The sequence below is a fragment of the Homo sapiens genome, chromosome 8 (assembly GCF_000001405.40).
Source record: "Homo sapiens chromosome 8, GRCh38.p14 Primary Assembly".
Lineage (NCBI taxonomy): Eukaryota > Metazoa > Chordata > Mammalia > Primates > Hominidae > Homo > Homo sapiens.
Genome location: NC_000008.11, coordinates 88,185,562 through 88,204,399, shown reverse-complemented (window position 1 = coordinate 88,204,399; position 18,838 = coordinate 88,185,562). Strand labels below are relative to the sequence as shown.

At 33.6% G+C, this 18,838-nt stretch overlaps 1 protein-coding gene across 1 annotated transcript in view; it reads left to right on the top strand.

Annotated features, from left to right (window-relative positions):
• Nucleotides 1–18,838, top strand: part of MMP16 (matrix metallopeptidase 16) — a 295,473-nt gene that overhangs the window by 123,084 nt on the left and 153,551 nt on the right. The window contains exons 2-3 of the mRNA NM_005941.5: nt 7,094–7,242; nt 17,802–17,924. Of these exons, the coding sequence (NP_005932.2) occupies nt 7,094–7,242; nt 17,802–17,924 (272 nt within the window). The remainder of the gene's footprint in view (nt 1–7,093; nt 7,243–17,801; nt 17,925–18,838) is intronic.

Genomic DNA, 18,838 nt, shown 5'->3' with positions numbered 1-18,838 from the left:
ATCTTAAAAATAGTCATAGCCAAAAATGACACCACACAGGATCCTGGAGAAGTTGCATCATTAGCTGGTTATAAATCATGAGCCTTATTTTGTAATGCTATCCCTCAATTCTGTAAAGGCTTTTGGTAAAATTCAGCAGGTAAATTACCATTTTCTCTGATGTCTATCAGTTCATTCTAAAAACCAATCAAAAGGTGTTGCATTTTTATATTTTTAACAAATGGGCTTAAAACCCTCTGCAACTGTTCTTTCGGCAGATTATTTTACAGATGGAAAATTCTGTTGCTGGGATTTTAAAGTAGGGAATTATGACAGTTGGAATAGGTCATGAATTTCTGTCTTTCTGAGTGTAATGTCATGTGATGATAGAAACATTTCCAAACATCTGTCTTTAAAAATAGTTGGCATGGCATATCTTTCCTTGAAAAACAATTTCTTTTCTCTTGCATTGGAAAAACATCACTTTTATCTTGATGGTACAGATTAAAAGATTTTTGTTTCTCATATCCCAAAATAGCTATTGAATAGCACACTATTTGCAGCTACTTGTCTTCACAGAAAAGGACAGCACTTTTGTCTTTTCGTAAAAGAAAATACATAACTCATTTAAGTTTGACAACTTATAAGTACCTTGCTATGAAACAACCAGCAAACATCTATATAGCACAAAATATTTTCGTAGTCACTCCCCATCATATTTGAAAGTATTATAAAATTTCTTTTCTGTAAGATGATATAATTCATAAATCCATGTAACCTGGCACAGAAAAATAGCTATATGTTGTATTGTGCCTGTTGAGGTGACAATGTGAAACTCTTTGCACTGTGGAACTCCAGCTCCTCCTTTAGGACATCTAGTGGTGATGAATGTATGAAGTTTGGTTAGTCTGTATATTAAGTAAAAGTCAAGTTTATTTCTTCTTATATTAGGTTTAATCTACAGTTATGCTCATGCATGCATGTGTGGATGTGCACATTTTATAAAATGTTCTGGTATTGGCCGGGCGCAGTAGCTCATGCCTGTAATCCCAGCACTTTGGGAGGACGAGGTGGGTGGATCACGAGGTCAAGAGATCGAGACCATCCTGGCCAACATGTTGAAACTCGTCTCTACTAAAAATACAAAAAAATTGCTGGCCGTGGTGGCAGGCACCTATAGTCCCACCTACTCGGGAGGCTGAGGCAGGAGGATGCCTTGAACCCGGGTGACGGAGGTTGAAGTGAGCCAAGATTACACCACTGCACTCCAGCCTAGTGACAGAGCGAGACTCTGTCTCAAAAAAAAAAAAAAAAAAGAAGTTCTGGTATTTTGTACCTTCATCTCAGTGGGACATTTTGCACCCCCCACTTTGCAAGTTTAATTGAGATTAATTTCTTTTTTGTATTTTTGGTGTCAATGAAACTGAATCTGCTCCCAGTAAATAAAGGCGAGTTGAGTCTGTGACTCACATGACAGACTCAAGTAAGTGCTTTTAGAACGTTTACCTGGTGCATTGTTCAGCATTTCTCTTCACTTGGCTAGTGTGAAAAGACACAAATTTGAGGGGGATTTTACTGTTTTGAGTTTTTAGGTAATTGTGATATAAAGTAGCATCATGTCAATGATTATTACAGGTAGTTAGTTTTTTGGTAATTATTTCTGTCTACTTCAGAAATATAGGGGTTGTGGTATCATATACATGCTTTGTTATTGTTTATCATTGGTTGTGTTTTGCTTTTATTTTGGTCTTGTTTTGTCACCATTTATGTGTGTGTGTGTGTATGTGCATGTACACTATAAATCTTTCTTTAAAAAATCTAAACAACTTAGAAGAAAAAAAAACAGTAAAATCTGAGCAGATGGCATATCATAGTCTTCTGCAACTTTCCAGCCTGATGACTAGCACATAATGGAATTTCAGGTAAGGGCACTGCTCTCTTTTTAACACTGGGGCTCAGCCATTACCGTTTGAGGGGTTTTGCTCCCACAGCTACTACGAAGTGTAACTCACTTTATGCAGATTGGAAAACCTCTCCACAGCATTGACACCATAAGTAATTGGCTTCTATCATAAATGAGTTTCCTGTTAAGGTATAAAATATGATCATCACGGTCATCACAACTTTTAGTATAACTCAGCTGTTTTCTTCTCTTCCTGTCCAAATGACAGTTGCCTCTTAATTGATAAGATGTTTAGTGGAGTAACTTTTGGTTGTTTCACTATTTCCTTTCCATTTCAAGAAGCCATTAAAGAGATGGTAAAATTCTAAGTGAATTGAATTCTATTTGTGCAATTTCGTACACTAATCCATTCATGCTGGGGATGGGATGGTGATTTAGAGCCCATTTAGGTTTTTGAATGAAGAAAAAGGCTAATTTCTGCCTTGTGAACTTATCCTATGAATCTTCAATTTGACCAATTCTGAATGATTACTCCAACGTGAGTTTAATTTTTTGGCTAATAGGTAGTTATAATTCACATTTATAGCCATTTTTAGACGAGAAAATGTAGGCCACAAATCCTGCCACTTTTTAAAACCAGTAAGTATATGGTATTTCTGGAAAAAAAGTCCTTAAGCTGTTACTGCCTTTGCTGATGATACCACAAAATAGAGGGGCCATCACCTTTTAGTTGTTAGTTAATTTTACTTTGTAACAAAATTTAGCCAGTGCGTTTATAAGTCTCATACTGAAAAATGGAAATTAATGTTTTATAACATTGAGAAGTTATCTGTTAAAATGCATTCTTTCAGTTGAATTTCATCTGAGAAAGTCAGTTAATTATATCAGAATATATTTTAAACATCATAGATTTAAACATTTTGTTAGTATGTTAAAATTTGAGGTGAAGTCAGTAATTTAAAAAAATTGTTTCCCAAAATAATAAAAATGTTTACATAATCAAGTAAATGGAAGAGATTCTTACTAAATAAATGCTATAAAATAAATTTATCACCTTTGCACTTTTCTATTCATATGAGTACTGTACTTTGGATCATATAATCACAGGGTACAAGGAACTTGCATTTGCCATACCACATTAGGTGGAAATTAACTATACTTGAAATAACCTGAAATAACTAATTCAGTCACAAATAGGCATTGTGGACTGGCAAAGTGATTTTTCAGATTAAATAAAATCCTAACACAGCCTTCCTTATATTCCCCTTCAATTATTTCTATAATTTCTAAAATGTATCTCTTCTAGCCCTAATATATTCAGTAGTTTAATCACCTATTCACTTATTCCATTTTTTTTTTTTTTTTTTTTTTTTGGGGGGGGAAAGGATGTCTGCAATTAATCAGAGTCAGTATTTCAAGATGTTTTCTCTATATGTTATGTCCTATCAGTGGGGAAGTTTAAAAATTGTTCTTGCATTTGTGTTTCATCTAAGCAAATGAATAACAGTATCTAGCTTTATATTAAGACATTGATAAACTTACTAGCTTCAAGGCTAGAGGGAATTTTATTTCTCTAGGTTGTAGTATTGGCCTGAAGGAATAAATAAGGATACATATTTTAAAAAATTACTGCTTAGATTTGCTCTTAGTGGTGAGAAATTCTACTGTCTCCATTTTTTATATAATCATTTTTCAGGATACTGCTTAATATATGTGGGTGAATGAGTCAATTAACATAGGTTTTCACAGTATGGGCACATGAAATATTAGTGACAAAGTCATTTTTGTCACTAATATTTATGAATTAATGAATTCATTAATGAATTTTGCTGAAATTTTGTTTGCCTGTCCTTATTTGTACTATAATCTAGTAAAGGCAATATCTGTTGGCACAACATTTAATATTTAAGTGTTTACCTTTTACTGCTGGATATATCATCTTACTCTGCAGAGAACAACAGTCTTCTGGTTGTTCCTCCAACTGAATAATCACTAAGTGCTGGAAATTGGTTTTGTCTACCAGGTAGCAAGATGTTTGAATGAGTTAGTAAAACAGGAATGTAATTCAAGGTGAGATTTTATTGCTTCATTTGAGGTTGGTTGTTCTAGAGATAATGAGATGGGGTAAGTCCCAGATAGTAAAGAGTCAAAGTTTGCCTTAAAGGAACTTGTTTGTCCCTTGATATTTTTTCAGTGTTCTCAAAAGCACTTCTCAATCTAGTGAGCACAAAATGAAGAAAACATAACAAAAATCAGTTTGTCAAATGTATCACACCTTCCTTATTTGCTTTTGGATTTGGGGAGTTTTCAAGCACTCTGATTCCTTACCCCATGTTGTTTGTCTTTCCTGACAGCTATGACTAGTTCAACCTCACCTATTTTTAATATTGCCCTATCCCAAAGACAAATCTTAAGTTTAACAGGAATGATTTTAAGAACTCAGGGTAGTTGGTAAGCATAAAATAATAGTATGACTTACTGAGCAAGAATTATGCTAAGGGCTTTGTGTATTCTCAGTTAATCCTAACATCACCCCTACAAATTGTATATCATTCATCCAAGTGCACACAAGAATGGATAATTCTTTAACTATTCATAATGTGCATTTGAGAACATTGAAAAGACATTAAGGCACAACCAGTCTCAAGAGACAAATTTAGTATTTGCAATAATCCAGGAGATGAAGTATTTTAAGACAATGATGAAAACAGGGATATACTTCAAATAAAAACATACGAGGATGGAAGGGTATGGTATAATCTGTGATATATATGTATATATCTTTACAGATACACATACATACTCACATATATATTTATATCTCAAAATTTATTTTTAAGAACAGTGAAAAAGATGCAAAGACTACATGCCAAGTCATTAACCTTGGATAGCAGAATACTAGGGTAAGGGGAAAGATACATTTCCAAATATTACTTAATAGATGTAATTTTTTATCAAAAAAGATATTATAAGTTTGTACTTTGGAAGGAAGGTTTGCTTCCTAGGTGACAAATCAATCTTGATTAGCCAGAAAACAAACCTTGACCATAAAATGGTAGAACTCATAGCTTTCCCAGTATTTTACACTTAAAAATAATGATCCACTCTTCAGTCATTCAGAAAGAACTCCCTTTCATAAGTGACAGTGTAAAAGAAAACTTGAAGAAAAATCTCAATTCATTTTTTACATTATTTTAAAACATTTGTTTGAAAGGCTAATGCATAAATCAAATATGTATTTTTTATTCTGTTCATTATGCACTTAACATTTACATATTTTATAGTTCCTCTATCTGTACATAAGTCATAGGGTTTATTGTTAATGGTTTTCTCTTTGCTTTCCTCATAAACATAATTGCCTGTAGCTTAGCACCCATGAGTAACCTAGCAACAAGTCAGCTCTCTAGCAAGTAAGAAATGAATGCAAACAAAGTGTTATGGAAAAAGCATTCAGTTTAAGAATATTGGTGCATGTATATTATTAAAAATCAAGATACAACGTTCTAATTTTGAGACATTACGTTAACAATAGGTATTGACTTTCATATTAAATAATATTGCCTGCCTCCTTCATTCAGAAAAAAAGTGGAGTCTACTTCAGACTGCACCACTGTTAACTAGGAAACTGAATATTCATATTTTCCCTGGCAGTCTGTTCATTACAGATTAGATGAGAAGAGTGTCTTGGCATGCTTTTACTATATGGTACATGAGTTTACTAGATTAGGTTTCACTAATACACCTTCCTGACAGTGATGCATTGCTCATTTCTTAAATGGTTTTAGAATAAATTTTGGGTTTTTTTTTTATTTTCAAGGGGATGTGCTTATGGTACTGTTCTTTTGAGGTGGTCAGTTTTTGGAAATACCATGAAAAATTCCACTTTGTGTTTCACATTTTAAGACTTTGATACATTTAATACCAGTTTCTTTTGGTGAAATTTAACTTCTATATTTGCTGGTTATTTTCACTGGGAAAATATGTCTCCTGTTTTAGACGTTGAAGTTCATAAAGGAAGAATATCAGTTATTTGGGAAAAACTACAATTTCATAGGATGGTCATTTATGTGATAAATAGACTGAGGTAGGAAGGGTAACACATGCTGGCAAATAGCTTTCACTAAATAGCAAGGCTTCTATTTTTATGCCAGGGACAGAATTACTTGGCCCTTATCAATTTGAGAGGTAGTTCACTAAACTCCAAGAAATCTTAGAGCCCTATAGAAGATTGAGGTAAAGGACAGCAGGATGGGATGTGGCCTGAACATATGATTGTGCATTTAAAATGAATCCATAGAGTTGTAAAACTGGAAAGCATCTGCTCCCTGGTGGAGATATATGTTTTTTTCCAAATGCCCTGCATTTGTATTAACTTTTAAAATTTAACCTTAAATGACTCCGAATTTTTGCTCCAATCACAATTAGAATGTGAATTCAACTATGATTTCTTTCTCTGTCCTCCCAGAGCCCCCTTCACCAGGGAAGGTGGGGGATAAAAATCATGAGACCCTTAAAGAGAAGTCTAAACACTCTTAAGATGATAGCTGGATTTCTTCTACAGGTGAAAAACTTGGTTACTTGTGTGATTTAGATTAAAGTGAGTCACCATAAATAAATGAAGAAAGAATATTCTTTACCTGGTAAAGTCATCAAAAGATACCTAGCTACGATTGGATAGAATGGTTTTATGGAATTTACACCCAAAATGTCATAGAGTAACATGGTTTATCTGTAAAGATGCTACACGTCATAGCTGGAGTCACTGGTCAATTTCAGGAAGACGGCTTTTTTAATGTGGTATATGCACATTGACTGCCCTTTGCAACATAAACATCTCAATAGAGTCATACTGTTGAAAAAGCATCCTTCATTTTGGGAGGTTGAGGTCCTAGAGGACAGGGATAATCTTACTTAAGTTTTTATCCAGTATTTGCTATAGTACGTTATACATTATAAGCTTGCAACAAATAATTACTCTTTTTTTAATTAACATTAGAAGGTATGTCAAAAAGATCCATAACAGTCGCTGCAATTATATTAAAATAACCTAACCTACATAATATATATATTACAAAAAGATCAAACACTTAAAATACTGTATGCCCTTGTGGAGAAAATGTTCAAAACTCTATTATAGATATACATTAATTACCAGAAAATTATTGTTAAATTGTAAAATTGATCTAAAAGAAACTGTACTTGTTATTGCAGGTTTGGTTACAAAAGTACGGCTACCTTCCACCGACTGACCCCAGAATGTCAGTGCTGCGCTCTGCAGAGACCATGCAGTCTGCCCTAGCTGCCATGCAGCAGTTCTATGGCATTAACATGACAGGAAAAGTGGACAGAAACACAATTGAGTAAGTAATGGCTCCCATCCTCCTTTCTTTTTGGTCCTTGAGCCAAACTAAGTAGTCTGGAAAACTTTATATGAACTCCACCAACCAGAAATGGAGTAATTTGTCTCATGAACTTTCTTTGGAATTATATAACCTAATTTAACCCCACTCCTCCAATATTTCATAAGATATTTAAGGCCCAATGTCAGGTTTGCTTACCTGATTTTAGCAACATAGTTTCAAAGTAGTAAAGAAATATGAATGAAATGTTGAGGTAGGTGTACAGTTGAAGCTACTACAAAAAGAGTGACCATGAGCAACAGAGGTGGGTTGTGTGATTGATGAGAATATATTGTACACATGGCTTCCCAAATCTCTGTTCATTGGTATCATATTAGGAGCTTGAAATTGGCCAAATGGAAATATCTACACCCTGGAAACTAGGAAACAACACAAATTAGGGCTCTTATTTTGGGTAGGAGGGGCAGCGTCAGAGAGCCAGTTAACAGTTTACTAACTCCCCACTGCTGACGGTTCTAAATCAAAGATAGGTTTCACTGGAAAGTTACTTCTTTCAATTTCTTGTTATCACAGGGCTTGTTCTTATTTTTTAATAATTTTGCTTTTTAATGATTGGTTCATCAATCATTCACTTATTTATTCAGCTCTTTATTGGGTGCTTTATCTGTGAAAGATAAAGCATGTACAGATTCAGAAGGCATAATCTCTTCATCAAAGGAGCTTAATTCTTATCTTCTGCATAGATAGACATAATCGCAAATGGTGTTACCACAGGTACACAGTAAGTTTCGTAAGATTATGAAACAGCATTACTTTTCTGGACAGCAAAGGAAGAAGTGATTAATTTTTTTCAGTAGAGGGAAAAATTATTTGTGTTTTTAGAATCCTTGATACTCACAAAGTTTACATATTTTTTGTTACTTAGTTTGATCATGGTACATCAACCTTCAACAATAGGAAAGACAAGCATGCATTTTTCTCTGCTTTCTCAAATAGAGGAACTAAATGTCAAAGGCTAAGTGAACTTCAGAGTAGTTGCAGAATCCGTCTTTTGACATTTGATCTGGGGAACTTGCCCTGCTATATACCTTGAGAAAAGACATACTGTTTTTCTTTTTAAACCTTAAATACCTGGATTATCTAGACTTAGACATCCTTAATTAATTCTGACATATCAAACTAATTTAATACATAATTTCAAAATTTTGCCATCTAAGTTTGCAACATGATGTTAGTCATAATTTTTCTATTTTATCAACACAGGAAAACCTTTATAAATAATAAAAGCTTTGAGATAAACTTCAAAGCAGTTTGGAAACATAAATACATTACCTCCCCTAGTACTTTTGAGAGATGCATAAATATTAACTTTGATCTACATCTTGGAAAACAGAATCAAGAATAAAAAGAATATGTTCTGCCACAATTAGAAACTTGTTCTAAATATTGGGAATAGAGTTTTGATATTTTGGACCTGCTGCCCTCTAATCACTGCAATTCTCTCTGAATGCTATAATATCATTTTAAGGCATAATATGCCCCTTGCCTTAAATAAATATAGTTTTAAGTTAACAAGCAAAAGCCTCCAGCAAATCCTGTGTTTTGCTGCCACGTATAGTACCAAATTCCATTTAAATTGTACTCCTCATCACAGCATTTTACAAAGTGCTGTGGACAGCGTTCTTGTTCTTAATGGAGAGCTGTTAGCTTCTGATTCACTTTCTTGGAAAATATGACGCAATTCATAAAAATACAAATAAACTGAGGACTTGGGAAACAAATTAGTTCACATTGTTTGAAGGTCTAACTTGACTAGTGCCAGAATAATAAGGAAGTATGTAATACTTATTACTAGTTATTAAATTTAAGAAAGTGGAGTCCTAGAAAAGGTACATTTCCGCAAGTTTTGTGAGCTCCTGTTGGTCATTGGAAGGACTTGGGATGGAAATGTTTGTTTTCTGAAAGTGGCTGGAGGAAGGTTTTTGTGAGGAGGTAATGGAAGAGTAATGTGCACAGGTTTTATTTGGGCCCTTCATATGGAAAGGGGTCTGAACAGTTTGCTGTTCTCTGGCAGGAGGATGTAAAAAATGTGGAGGAATAGAGAAGGACACAGGCCTTTTTGGGGGCACAGAGTGGCTCAGATTCCAGACCAGTAAAAATGATGGTGTCAGTGCGTGGGAGTTAAAGTAGCATTTCTGTGATAGGGCATTATAGAGAAAAGATCAACTATATAGGCAGCCCATAATTTAAAATCAAAGGGACTTTTTTCCTTGTTTGTTTTGGTTTGGAGCTGTATTGTTTTTATTTTTATTTGAACAAAGCCATGTTCTAATTCAGGTTTGGATTTTTCTTGGTGTCTTTTTAGGAATTGGTAGTGCATCTTTCTCTTCAGAGTATTACACCTGGCAGTTATTTCTAGATGAAACAACTAAAGCCTTGTTAACTCCTCCTCATCTTCCCTTCCTAGCCTGCCATGCCTCCTCTGCTCCCTGTGTCTGCTTGGAGACTTCATTCTCATTGTCACTTGAACTAGAAACCCGGTGGCTTCATTTGCTTCCTGCCTATTTTTTTCTGCTGTCGCATCTCTACTCTTAAGGTGTTATTGATCAAGGTACTCAGCTGAAATAGTGTACTATTTTTGGAAGTATAATCCCCATCATCATGATATTAAAGCTATCATCTGTGCTTTTGTAATCTTGAATGTGTGGTAACAATCCATGCTGAAATCACACTCTGTTATATTACGGTCAAATTATAAGGTATGAATTTTTATCTGACACTTATTACATAAAATATGGACTATAGTTATAGATCCAAATTATTCCTCAGTATTAATATAATGTCTTAACCATTTTCGATGCTATGAACTCTTGTCTAATTTTAGACTCTTGTCAAGATCAATTGTTTTTATATTAAATAATTATATCCTTTTTTGGCAGATAGACATGGGATGCATTGAATCTGTAATTACTGGGTAATTAAAAGTAATGATGACAATTGCAGTAATCCCTATATTATGTTGAATAAATTAACCATTTTCAAACAATAAATTAAGGTATTACCTTAAATGTCATATAATATTGCCTTAATATTAATTAACAATGGTATTAGAGATCATAATAAATACTTATTCCCTCCCACAGAATGAGTTCATCAGTGATTCTTTTAAATTATAGATGCATAGCTAATTTTTGGAAGCAAGCTCCCCTAAATTCTTTAATGAATGGAGCAATCTGTATTATACATAAAATATATATATTTTACAAGGAAACAAAAAAATAGCAAGGCAATAAAGAAAATGAGTCTGATATGTTTTATAATTTTAATAGTAATTTTTTCATATTAGTTTATCTTTTATATGTGTACAGTGGCATGCACTCAAGTGTGCTTGGTGAAATATTTCTTTTTTAAATTATTTTTAATTATTATGGATATATAATAGTCCTATATATTTATAGGGTACTTGTTATGTTTTGATACAGGCATACAGTACATAGTGATCAAATCAGGGTAGTTGGGGTATCTATCACCTCAAGCATTTGCCATTTATTTGTGTTAAGATCATTCCAATCTTACTCTTTTAGTTAAATATGCAATAAATTGTTTTTACCTGTAGTCACCCTAGTGTGCTATTTACTACTATCTCTTATTCATTGTATCTAACTACATTTTGTACCCATTAGCCACCCCTTCTCTTTATCCCCACCTCCCTCCTATCCTTCCCAGCCTCTAGTAACCATAATTCTAGATAATTCTAGTCTCTGTCTCCATGAAGTTCTTTTTGTGTGTTTTGTTTTGTTTTGTTTTTTAGCTCCCACATATGTGAAAACATGCAATGCAATATTTGTCTTTTTGTGCCTGACCTATTTCACTTAACATAATGTCTTCCAATTCTATCCCACGTTGCTGCAAATTACAGGATTTTATTTTTTATGGCTGAATAATATTCCATTGTGTATAAATACCATATTTTCTTTATCCATTCACACATTGACAGACATTTCAGATGATTCCATATCTTAGCTGTTGTGAATAGTCCTGCAATAAACAAGGGAGTGTAGATATCTTTTCAATATACTGATACCCTTTCCTTTGGATATATGCCCAGCAGTGGGATTGTTAGATCATATGGTAGTTCTATTTTTAGTTTTTTGAGGAACCTCCATACTCTTCTCCATAGTGATTATCCTAATTTATATTTCCATCAGTAGTGTATAAGGATTTCTCTTTCTTCAGATGCCCCCCAGCTTTCATTATGGCCTGTCTTTTCGATAAAAGTTTGTTTAACTGGGGTAGGATGATATCTCATTGTACAGAAATTTAACTTAATTAAAATTTATTTAAGGTTGAATAAGTAGATTTTTCAAGTCATTTCAATGAAACTATAGTGATATTTGGATTCCTAATTTGATAATTGAAATACTTATTTAGATGTACCAAGAACCCCAACATTTTTGGCTTGTCAATATGTTTTATGATTTTTATTCTTTTGTCTAAATTGCCAAGGGAATATTCTCTATCTTCTTTTTCAGTTTGGATATAAAAGATATGTTCTTAATCAATTGATGTTCTTCTTTTTATTTCTGAATATACCCATGGCATTAAAACGCTATCACATTATAGGATGGGTCAGCCCACATTTTGGTGGCAGCAGAAGGAAGGTTGATAGCTAGTGAGCAGGGACCTTAGATTCCTATTCTGAAAGGTAAAAAGTTGAAAGAATTGGTTAGAGCTAACACTGAAATTGTGTTCACACTGAAGATCATAGTGGCTTAATACAGTTTTGTTCTTGCTCAGGTATTTAGGTACTTTAACTTTGCCATTTCAATCTTGTGAATAACCTGTGTGTCTATACAGGCAGTTAATGAGTCTGTAGATAAAAGAAACTCTGGACTGGAATGAGCTGTCAGCCGCAACATTTTTAGCCCTAAGTTAATTTACTTTTAAAAATCTTCCCATGGCAACTGGACTTGACTCTATGAATACAAATAAAACCTAAGGATTTTTTAAAGTAATTAAAATAAGTATATTTTTAAATTTCTGGAAGGATCTTTTGGGGACTACTATAAATAGTAAATATTATTCATACTTTTAACTAAAACTTGTGAAAGTATGGAGAATGGAAACTTGTTTAACATATTATCCTGGTGAATATTGTCTTAGAGCATGAGTTGATAAAGTACAACATATGTATTTGGCAGTCATTTTCTTTTCTCATGGTAAAGGTAGGTGTATTTACACAGAGCCACTGTGTGGCAGAGCTCTAGCTGCAAGGGATGACGTTTCCCTGGTATTTTGTTGAAGCACGGCCTTCCTGCAGCACCAGCACAGGATACCCAGTACCAGGACTGTAACCTAAGGGCACCTCTTAAGAGTCATGCAGTGAGTGGCCTTATGTGTTTGGCATGAATGCCCAACTTATTAAATACTTTTTAAAAATATATTTTACTGAAGCTAATGGACACTTTCAGATATATGTGTGTGTGTCTGTGTGTGTGTGGTACACCAAACTGTTTAGAAGCTTCTGGCTACTTTATTTACATAAAACAGGGGACAGTGAAGTTGTTTATTTATATTTCTATTATCAAAGTACCAAAAAAAATCCCTGTTTTAAATAACATATATACAGGTCAAAGGGAGGTGAAGCACATCAATATTTGTACGCTGCTGCTGCTTCTACCATGACTACCACCAGTATAACTACTTCCTGATATTTGTAAAATAATAATAGTTATTAGAATTAGAATTGTAAGTTAATAATAGTAGTTACTGTCTGCTAGACACTATTTTAAGTGTTTAAATGATTTAACTAATTCATTCTTCACAATAACCCAATAATAGAGGTAATATTATCATCTCCTTTAAAGATGCGGAAACCGAAGTATAAAAAGAAACGGTAACCTATTGTCATAGGACTATTGAGTCAGCGAGGTAACTCTACAGTATGGCACCAGGATCCCTGCTTTCAATTTTTATACTCCTCTCAAAAGCACTGATTTAGATTTTTTTTCTTTTTAAGTTGAGTTAACTTAAATAAGGACATTAATGATCTGCCCACCTAATTTTAAAATTATCTAAAATTCCCAAAAATTAAATCAGTATTAAAAATCAGTATTACGTTTATGAAAATTGAAGCCATGCCATTATTTACACCTTGATAATTACAAAGTTGCAGTGCCCCTTCCCCATGTCTTTGTTTGCTTTGGGATGTCAACTTAAAATTTCTCACAAATGAGTCAGTCAAGAAAAATAAAAAGCACAGTTATATGAGTTGTGTGTTGACACACTGAAAAAGTAACTATGTTTAAGCAATGACACTGTCGCAAAAAAAGTACTGCCTGAAAATAACATTATTGAAAGCTTTAAAAAAAAGGTGGTGACTAGATTTTACCAAGTTGCCAGTTGGTAATAAGCTATATATATATATGTATAAAATACACTTATATGTTAACTTTGTATGTGGATATAGATATAGTTATATATTCCTGTTTTTTGTGTGAACAGGTATATATGGGATTTATCAAATTGATATTTGAATGCTACTAACATTTTGGTGCCTAACAAATTTATATTATCTATTTGGGCAACTGGAAATGAACCTGACTGCCAGACTCTAACTGAATAAAAACATTAGCATGCCAGTTTTGTATTTAATGTTAGACAACATTTCATGCATTGATGAGTCCTGTTAAACACTGAGCATTCTTTATATCCATTGGGAACTTTAAAATTTCCATAAGAAAGAACCTGCCTGCTTATGAAATCAAATGTTTAAAGTCACATACAAAAGCCTGAAGACCAATTTAGCTCGGATTCTGTGTCATGTTCAGTAGTGTGATGTGCTTTGATCATATTTATGGTATTTTACCTACTTTGAGAAGATAATACCCACTAATATCTCTGTGCCAGAATGTTTAGATACAAATATTGGTGAAGTTAACATAGAGTATTCTCAACTTTACCAATCTTCATTCAGAGTTCTTTTCATTAAATCATTAGTTGATATTATATTATATATGTTATGCTTATTTCTTATGTGTAAATTATCTACTTCATGATTTTGTTTTATATAAGTATCCACGTAATGTCTCTGCAATAATCATTTGTTCAAAGCACAGAGCTGGAAAAAGTTATGAAGTCCTCAAGAAATATATAGGATTGTCGAAATGATCAGTATATGCAAAATGACATATAGACTTAGTTCATTTGCTTCATGTTCCTTATTGGCGACTTCACTAGGCACTGACCTCATGCTTGGCTCTCTACCCTCACTCACAGGTCAGTGGTAGATAGAGACAGACACATACAAATCAGGATACACATTATAAGACATGCTGCATTGGGGTGGTAAACTGTATCTATGTGAGTTGAATATTAAAGAATAATTAGGATTCTCAGGGTGAACAAGGAGTGAAAAGTATTCCAGACAGAGGTCATTGCATATAAGGGCAGGAAGAGGTTTGGTTCTGTAGGAACTCAATTGGATTTTGAGAAGGAGGACAGGGGACACCCTCACTAGGTAGACATAAATCAGATTCTTTCTACAAAGGCATTTCATGCTCAGAACATGCAGAGAACACACTTTTGCTTTGGGAAAATGTATTGTTAGTATTGTTAGTAGTGAAAATGAAGGAAGTGTTGAGAGTGAGAGATACAAGAGACATTTTGAGGGTAGAAGAGACTAGACTGTGATTGACTGGATGTGAGGAAAGAGTAGTGGAGGGTTATACCTGGATATCTAGTGTGGGCATTAGAAGATGCTAAGGCTTTCAGCTGAGATGAGGCATCAGATAAATTGGTGCAAGTTTGGGGTAGGAATATCATGATTTTCTTTGTATTACATATAACATTAGAGCTGATGACAGGATATCTAGATGGAGGTGTGACAGCACTTACCCCATTATATTGTACTTTTTAAATGATACATGTCTTACCTGTGTGCTATGAGCTCAGTAAGGAAGGGGCTCTTTTTTTCTTCATCTTCTAATCCATACTTTCTTTTATATATCTTAGCATGTTGTAAAAGCTCAAAAATACTATATGATGAATAAATCAGGATGAGATGGGTAAATGAACAAATAGTTAGAACACAAGCAAACAACTATATGAAGTGGGCAAAAGCCCAAGACTTATATAAGGGATTCAGCAGAAATGTCTTTTAGCACAGGAATCTAATATTCCTCCCTAAAATATCTGTTCTTTGGGCCGGGCACGGTGGCTCATGCCTGTAATCCCAGCACTTTGGGAGGCCGAGGCAAGCAGATCACCTGAGCTCGGGAGTTTGAGACCAGCCTGACCAACACGAAGAAACCCTGTCTCTACTAAAAATACAAAATTAGCCAGGTGTGGTGGCGCATGCCTGTAATCCCAGCTACTCAGGAGGCTGAGGCAGGAGAATTGCTTGAACCCGGGAGGTGGAGGTTGTGGTTAAGCCGAGATCGTGCCATTGCACTCCAGCCTGGGCGACAAGATCAAAACTCGGACTCAAAAAAAAAAAAAAAAATCTGTTCTTTGGAAGATGTACACACTTGACAAAGAAATCTTTTACTGGCTCCAACAAAAGCATGACATTACTGCCTTCATTTTTCAATTTTATACATACTAAAGTAATTTTAGAGACTATACCCTCATTGAAAATACATTTTATTCTGATAATAGTTAATTCTGTTGTTTCAAATTTTACCCAACTATCCATTTCAGGTTTTTTTCACAGATTGCTTACTTAAATGTTTTCCTTAGCTAAATGTGAATGTAACCATATCCCACGTTAAGTAAATATATTCAGATTTCATAATTACGTATTGTTTGTTCTCCCAGTACTTTCAATGAGATAAGTAAAGATAAGTACCTACCTTAGGAATATTATAATTTTTTGAGACTATAATTAATACCCATATATAAAAGCAACTTAAATCATCGTAGGCACACCATTAATACAATTGTTAATTAAATCAATATCTAGATCTTAAACTATGCAATAAAAATAACCATATCCATCTAGTCCAGTAATATTTATTTGTTAATTCTCCTATTCCAGTTGTGCAAGATACAGAGAATACCAAAACCCCTTCTCTTGAGTGTTTTACAGTATAGTGAAATATCTCTCAAATTCAGTGTGTTTAGGACTCCCCTGGGAGTGTTAGTTAAAAATGAGAGGCCTCTGATCTCACCTCCTGAGAGCTCAATTCCATAAAGCTGGATACCCTCTTAGAATTTAGCGTTTACAAGATGTATTTTTTAATTCGTGGACTTTAATAAAGGGGAAGAATTATTTTCTGAAGTAACTCTACAATGCATTTAAACTAGGATGGAATTTGTTAAATCTGGTAACTGCATGGTCTACATTACTGGGGTCAGAATAAGAAAGCAGAATCTTTTAATGTTTTCTGGAAAAGTGTCATCTTTCTTAAGAAGTAAAAGTTATTATTTCACTGATGCAGGAAGTTATTATGTTTGTAAAAGCACATTATTGGATTTTGTTGCATAACATGTAAATTACTTCACATGCAAATTACTTAATGTGTAAATGACTTAGAGAGTCATCTCTATGATCACTCCTTTTCCATTTAAAAAGTGTAGAAATTGTAAAGCAAATACTCCAAAAATTGATTGTTTTTCATTTCTACTTTCTGAACCATGTAGTACTATGAATTTTCTGCCTTACCTTTGTAATTATTAAAATAAAGGGGCTAATAAACAGCAAAGTCACTTTATAACGCACTAAAGAAAAACTACCCCCAAATCATGAAAATCTTTCTACTTAGATAAGATGCAAGAATAGATAGAAAATGTGACAGTGGTCCAATGAGACTCTCTAGAAGAGAAATTAGACTATTTTATCTGTATATGTGTTAAGATTAATAAATTAAAAGCAGCATTTCCTTTTCAAATTTAAGTACATCAAACCTTAGTCTTGTGAGTGCAAAACCTCATATTCAGAAAAATATTTTTTAAGCATTGAATTTGGTTATTTATCAAATATTCAAAGCAAGTGGCTGCTACTTGGAAATGAAATAATGATCAAATGTAAAGAAGAAAAGGTAGAGAAATGAATATTTTATTTGAACAAACAGTTGACTGCTATGTAAATTAGAACAGAGTAGCATATACCCTCTTGAATCCTGGCATTTAAACTCAGGTAATAGATTAGAATAATCTTTGAATGTTAAAGGTGGAATAACTCCTTAGTGGCATTTTATGAGTAGCACTAGGAATTAAAGACTTGCCCAAGATTATATACCTTGTTAACAGCAAATTCTTAGAAGCTTTAGACTACCTCTGTCTATAGTTAGCCCAAAATAAATTAGAGAGAAGAAAATTATCTAAAGGATCTGAATAGTAAACTAGTGATTCTTGATAATTCAGGAAAAACTATGCTATCTACTTAGATTCAAAGTGCAAGAAAATTCACAGTGTTCCCTTTACTTTATATTTTGCCATTTTCATCATCACTGTCTCAGATTAACCTCTTAATTGATTTTCTTTTGAATTTAATGATTAGGGTTGTTAGTAAATAACTGGAAAATACTGCTTTTTTTTTTTTTTTTTTTTTTTTGCAGCTGGATGAAGAAGCCCCGATGCGGTGTACCTGACCAGACAAGAGGTAGCTCCAAATTTCATATTCGTCGAAAGCGATATGCATTGACAGGACAGAAATGGCAGCACAAGCACATCACTTACAGGTATAAGAACTCACGATTAATCTCCCCTTTTCCCCATATTTCATTACTATTTGTTTTGACACATAGTTTAGTATCTTCTGCACGTTGACTACATGTTAATATATAGGGATATAATGTTAACATAAGAGATTTAAAATTGCTATTGAGAGGAGAGTAAATTGTTCATTAGACACCCTATGTAGACACTCTGAGACACTTGGGCTCTTTTGTAAACTATTCCAGCTTCTTGAATAAATGTCAATATTATGAGGGACTTTAAGATGAATGTTCTAACATATTACATGCTTTGACAAATATTTATAATCTCTAAAATAATCAAATAATAAAATATATAAATAACTGCTATTTAAACAGAATGTTGTTGAATTCATTAATCAGTGTTTAATATCAGTCTAACCATTTTGATTTTTATCTTTTTCTTAATTATGCAAGTGGTTTTGTCTTCAGTAACAGAAAGTATTTTCCAACCTAGAGTGACAATTGTTATTAATGGATTTTCACATTTATTTATTTTGTAATTGAACAACTGCTTACTGAGTCCCAGTATGAACAAAGAACAATGCCAAGGCCTGGAGATGTAGCAACAAATAAAACATGAGGACCCTGTTTGTCCTCATGGAATTTACAGTCACAAAAAGTTGAACAGTCATATAAATACAATGCTTGTTATAAAAAGAAAGGACAGGATGCAAGAGAAATGTAAACCAGGGTCATCCAACCCATTCTAGAAAACCAGATGAGATCGCCCTAAAATAGCTTTTCAACTAAGACCCATAGGAAGGAAAGAACTTGTTAAACCAATGGGCAGGAGAAGAGGAAAGATACTTTGGTGAGAGGGTAGAATGTCAGGAATCATCTGTCAGATTATGTGAATAGAAATGATAATTTTATAATTCTTATTCTTCATGTAAATA